The sequence below is a fragment of the Homo sapiens genome, chromosome 15, assembly GCF_000001405.40.
Source record: "Homo sapiens chromosome 15, GRCh38.p14 Primary Assembly".
Classification (NCBI taxonomy): domain Eukaryota; kingdom Metazoa; phylum Chordata; class Mammalia; order Primates; family Hominidae; genus Homo; species Homo sapiens.
Genome location: NC_000015.10, coordinates 97515929 through 97522173, shown reverse-complemented (window position 1 = coordinate 97522173; position 6245 = coordinate 97515929). Strand labels below are relative to the sequence as shown.

General features: G+C 40.0%; 1 long non-coding RNA gene across 1 annotated transcript in view; it reads left to right on the top strand.

Moving 5' to 3' along the window:
- The first annotated feature begins 362 nt into the window (after positions 1 to 362).
- The window catches only part of LINC02254 (long intergenic non-protein coding RNA 2254), a 151441-nt gene continuing 145558 nt past the window's right edge, over positions 363 to 6245 (top strand). Inside the window, exon 1 of the long non-coding RNA NR_120324.1 lies at positions 363 to 593. This is a non-coding gene — a long non-coding RNA (long intergenic non-protein coding RNA 2254). The remainder of the gene's footprint in view (positions 594 to 6245) is intronic.

Here is a 6245-nt window from a genome sequence, read left to right as displayed (position 1 = left end):
GCCAACTAAGCTCCCCACACATTCTGATCGTCTCCCTGCACAGTGTCTGTGGTGGTGACAACTGATTCATGTGTTCATTTGCATATCCCCCGGTGCCAGCAGCAGAATACAGAACGGGCCTCCTGTGCCGGCAGCCAACACAGCACTGGCAAATCAGGGAGCTGTCAGAAACAGCTGTCCATTAACGGAGTTTGTGGAAACAACCAGGAGCTGTTTGAAAATGCTAGGTGGTAGAATTTAATTGGAGTAGCAACTGTTCAAAATTAAGATTAAAAGGACCAGTCAGTCAACGTGGATTTCGTGACACCTTAAAAATAACGTTTCAGGTTTGATTAATGCTGCAAGAAGTTTGCACATTTCTCTCCTTTGCTGATAGGGCCTGCGTGCTGATAGTTGATTCAGTGAATATATGTAGCAGTGATAGCTCATGGGCTCCAGAGGTCAGATATCTTATTCTCTAGGCTGAAACCCTTGTTGCTTTAAGGAAACAGGATTTTAATAGGAATCACATGCAGATTGACTACAGGGAGCCAAGCGGTAGTGGAAGAAGCAAAGTTGGCGGTTTTGGAGACGGACGTCTATCTATCCACAGTGTGAGTACGTCTCAGCTCTGAGCGGCCCACCCTATCCCCTAAGCCCTCCTGGCCAGATACAGGAATTTACAGAATACACTCGCTTCCCAGCGGTGAGTTGAGAAGGAAAAGAGTTTTCATGGCCGGTTTAATCCTTGGCTTCTCTCCTGAACATGCCGAAAAGGGTGTCAGATGTTGCCAACATTGAAGCAAAGCGGGGAGTGGGTGGATGGGGTCACTGAAATACGAGGATCCGTAATGGTTTCCTAAAAAGACTTTTTATCCTTCTGAAAAATCTCAACTTTAGCATTCATTAAGATCAGAAAACAATCCTAACATGCCAGGCACAGCTACTTGTAATTTGAAACAGAGTTTGTAACCCCAAACACCACATTTTAACGATTTTTAATTTATGATTGAACTCTAGGTACTCAAGTCAACATTCTCAGTTCCACATTGATGATTCCTATTGTGGTCATTTAGTTTAATTCTTTGACTTTTATTCTTAAATAGATTGTCATGCTACTTCTTATAAACATCCATTTTAAAATTGAAAAGAACATTGAATGCAATTGAGAATGACAGCACATTTAGAGTACATTTAGATGTAATTGAGAGGGAAGGGGGTAAACTTGTTTTTCTAAGAAAACATCAGAGCGGATATACAGTAGGGTCAGGGCAATGAGTGCAAGGCGACAGTTCCAGATAGGTAGTGCACGACAGCCAGGAGAGGAAGTGACAGCTGGTGGCTTTAGTAAACAGATTTCAGTTTAGGATTTTCTGAACATTTTAATATGCTTCTCCACTGTACCTTTTGTTCCCAATTCAATAACAAAGCCGTTTCTTATTTGTTGCCTTGAAGTATCAGATTGGTTAGAAAACAGATATAGAAAAAAAAGAAAGTCACTTGGTATTAAAACAAAACATTTCTAAATATCTGACGCAATGTTATAGTAAAATGGGGGAGGTGAAGGGAAGGGAAGTTCTCCAAAAGAGAGCCTGGTGGGAATGCTTGCAAATGGAAAGACGTGGCATTTCATTCCTCGGAGGCTTTTTGCTTAAATTATGATCTCCTCCCAAACAATGTATATCTCCCAACTTCTACCCAACTGATCAAGAGGCCCAACTGACTGGTAGGGTCTTTAAAGAGAAAATAAAAGCTGTAAAGAATGAAACTGAGTAACACTGAAGGCATTAGTCTTATTAACAGCCAAGCTCATTTCAAAGATGCTGGACATTGAAAGAGATGGTTGTCCTTGAGTCCTGCTGTCTGTGTGGCATACACTGCCTGTCTCAATGAAAAGCACCAATTTGTGTTTGTTGTGAATATCTGTGAATACTGTCTTATGGCAGCTAGTTTTTAATTGTTGTCAGCCTCAAGGGAAAATGTGATTGAGTCCTCCATGCTGCAATAAGGCAAGAGGAGCTGTTCTTTGAGTGAAAACGTTCCCATTCAGCTATAGGGAACGACAGAAATGCTTCAGAATTCAGCATTTCCCTTGCTATTTTTAGTTAAATTAGGCTCACAATCATGAGACAGCGCTGCTGCATTGGCCCATGATATGACCAAAGTAAGCTGCTAACATTTCTGTAGCTTACAGAGATTCTAAGGGAAGTAGTTGTTGGAAAATACTAGTTTTAAGTAAAAAGATAAATGAAATCGAGGAAGAATTAAACATAACGTGATGGAAGCTATCCTTTCATTTCACTAAATTCTACTGAGGGGATCATGGAAAGAATTCATGTTTCAACAGCATCCTGGTCTCGATTTTCAATTTTCTCAATTCTAGTTTGAACATTCAGGAAGAATGCAGATTATGCCAATAGATTTATAAAATGTATGGTTAAGACTTACTCATGCTAGCTCAATTAAAGAGTGGCATATAGTAAAAAATACTGTGAGGATTTTAAGAAAACAACAGTGAAGTAAGTGGAATCAAGACAGGTTCATGGTCTCTCTTAGGACTTTTCCTCTCTTTTCTTCCCTGAGCAACGCGGCCATCTCTTTATGTCCCTCATAAAGCTGGGCCTTGAACGTGACTTGGCTTGTTCCTGTAGCAGGTCACCAAAAATCTGTCTTTCCACACAGGCAGCCCTACTAATTTCCAGGCTTGCCTTGCTATGAAGGGTGGTCCCATGATGTGTTTTGGTCAATGGTATCTGAAAAGAAGTAGCAGCTTCAGAGCCCAGGTTTGTAAGAAGTGGAACCCTCATGCTAGTGGATGGCCAAGCCACAAATGCGCTCGGGGATAGTACAGCCACAAACGGGAAGGATCCTGGGTCCCTGAGCCACTGATGGAGGAAAGCTACCCATGAACTAGAAGCATCTAATTAGACTGCCACACAAGTGACCATAAACTTGTCTTTGAGGCATTAAAAGTTTTCATCAGTTAGTTATTGCATCCTGTCCAAAGTGAACTTCTGCACATGATCCTGAACTTTATAACCCAGTTTCTTTCTGCCACCTGCCATTATTCCTCCAACCCATCTATTCCCCACTCCCACTGATATAATTGACCAGCTCATAGTTTTATTTTAGGCCTGGCAGGCAATAGGTTTCCGACCAGCCGATGCCTCAGCTGCAGTTGCTTGTTCACACTTGACCTAACCAGCTCTGGTCATTGTGTCTAGTCACAGCTGTGGGCCTCACCTGTCAGAGGATAATATAAGTACCACAGGGTGGGAGAGTGAATCCTGGGTGGAGTTGCAGTAGAAACAGTGGGGAGCACTGCATGTCCCTGCTGTTATGAGCTTCCAGCAGAAACCAGACTTTCACAGCTCTAATGTGTAAGACTTTGTGAAGTCAAAGATATCACTGCAAGCTTATAGGAATGTGTTTAACTTCTTAAGGTGAATTCTGAGTTAAACCTGCATGTGCCAAAATTGTAAATGGACCACTACTGCTGTCATCCTCAAATTCCTTCTCATTCCCAATAATAAGTCTCCTTCTCCTTCCAAATGAAGGTGTTATTTTGTCATATATTCACACAAGGAATGTGATCTTTGTCCTTCAGAAGCTTCCAATGTAGGAGGGGCTGTCGGGAGCCAATATCACAATGCTAGGTTTTGTAGGTATAAAGTTGGATGACATAAAGTATGATTTCTGTTCATAATTCATGCATATGACAGGCATCCACAGGGCATGTGCACCTTGCAATCTGCACAAAATGTCATGGAATCCCATGGGTAATGTGCACATATTCAGAGCTATAACTGGTCCATATATCTATAGAGTTTTAGCTCTGGTTGATACATATATATGTATATATATATGAGTATATATGTATATATATATATGAGTATATATATGAATATATGTATGTATATGAATATATGTATATATATGAGTATATATATATATGAGTGTATATATATATATATATATATATATATATATATATGAATGTTCATGTAATGACATCAAACAATTTTTATCTCGTTTGACCAAAGTATATACTACACTTCCTGGAGAAAGGTAGAAATGTTGGAATAGCTTGGATAGCCCTAATCAGTAGAATTTTAAAGCTGAGAAAGTTTTCTTCTTAGCAGTAGAGACAAATGAAAGCAAGAGCACTTTCCTCTGGGCTGACTCTGCATTGCCTAACAACTCAACAGAGCATTATGAAAACAACTTATTTTGTAACACAACTACAAAGGAATTTTATAAGTATTTTTTTTGAGACTCGGTTGCATCATGCTGCCCAGGCTGGAGTTGCTATTCACAGGCACGATCATGGTGCACTACAGACTCAAACACCTGGCTCAAGCAATCCTCTAGCCTCAGCTTCCCAAGGAGCTTGGACTACATGCAGGTGCCACCTGGCTTAAGTGTATATTTTTTGGACTGAATATGAACATTTTAAGATTACCTGTGTACAGACATTATGTGATTCTTTCAAAAGAGTATTTAGCTAAGTAACTTGTTTCTGTTGAGGAGGTATTCTCGTTTACATGATCAGTAAATCTTTTTTGTATGGCTTTTCGGCACATCTTCAGTGATTTTACACTGTGTCACTTAAACTATTGCTCCAATATTACCATATTTAGACAATGGAGTTTTTTGGGTTTTTTTGTTTTTTTGTTTGTTTGCTTTTTGAGATGCAGTCTCGCTCTGTCACCCAGGCTGGAGTACAGTGGTGCGATCTTGGCTCACTGCAACCTCCAACTCCTGGGTTCAAGTGATTCTCCTGCCTCAGCCTCCTGAGTAGCTGGGATTACAGGTGCACGCCACCATGCCTGGCTACCATTTTTTAAATTTTATTTTAGTAGAGACAGGGTTTCATCAAGTTTGTCAGGCTAGTCTTCAACTCCTGACCTGGTGATCCGCCTGCCTCGGCCTCCCAAAGTGCTGGGATTACAGGCGTGAGCCATTGTGCCCAGGGTTGGAGGTTTTTCTTTAAAAAAAGGTAATGGCTAGAGAAGAGAATGGTACCATTAGTATAGGGGACTAGGCAATAGGGTGTACCTGTAAAACACAATGTGACCTATTGTCTAAATTCATGCTTCAGCTGAGTCTTTTAAAAAATTGTCTCTGTTTTGCTTAATTTTATACAAATAATTTGAACCACAGAAAAACAGGAAAAGGAAGAAGAAAAGAAAATTCAAAGGAGTGATGTAGTGTAGTGTTTTAGAGCTCTGCCTCAGGAATCAGAAAGGAAAAGAGCCAATAATGACTAGAGCCATAATCAAGACTTTGGATAACATGGCGGACCTCCCCTCTGAGCTTCAGTTTACTCCTTGTTATAATGTGAATACCATGTTTTCTTGGGAGAAATGAATAAGTTACTCCATGCAAAGTGCTGCAGATGGCACCTGGCACATAAGAGTGATCAGCCCATCTAGGGGTGATGCTCTTAGGATAAGCATTACCATTGTCATTGTCATCACAATTTCCCACATCCCAGCCCTCTAACACATTGAGGTTTCTTTCTTTCCCATGCTTTATATTATGCCTATTTGTCTTCCATATTTGGATCAGACTGTATATCTGTAGCCCTAAAAGTTGATATTACTATGTTTTAAAATAAATGTTTTTCAGTTGTTTTTAAAGAAAATATAATACTGTGCAGCTGTAGTACTTTGTTGTCACATATTTGTCACATTAATCTTTTGTTTGCTAGCATTGACTAATTATGTTCTGATAGGTAATCAGTACCTAATGGTAAATGCCATACTACAGGGTGACCTCATACAAAAAGTGTCATTCTTATTCTGTAATATCTGAATTAGAAAAAGATGCACTGTATTTTCACAGAGCCAGTATTTATATTCTCCCAGCAAATGATTTCCAAATTTGTATAGTCCTGCCTCAACTTTTTCAGTGTTTATCATCACATATGCACATGATACATACACACATGTCCTTTGCTCTAGCACAGTTAGAATAATGCACAAATATGCAACTTTCTTTAAATGAGCCGGATAATCTATGTTTATTACTAGAGAAATTCTTATGACTAAGCAGAGCCTCCAGATTTGAAAATAAATACACACATGAACACTATCTACACCTGTAACCGCATGGGTCACATTGCCTAGCCTGGCAGCAGAAATCTTAGCTAGAGCTGAGACACAATAAATAGAAATGTAAATTTCAAAACAAGGAGAGGCAGGCCAGAGAGAAAGGGGCTGTCTTCTAAATGGGAGGCTGCAGCAGGTCACCTCGCCCACTCC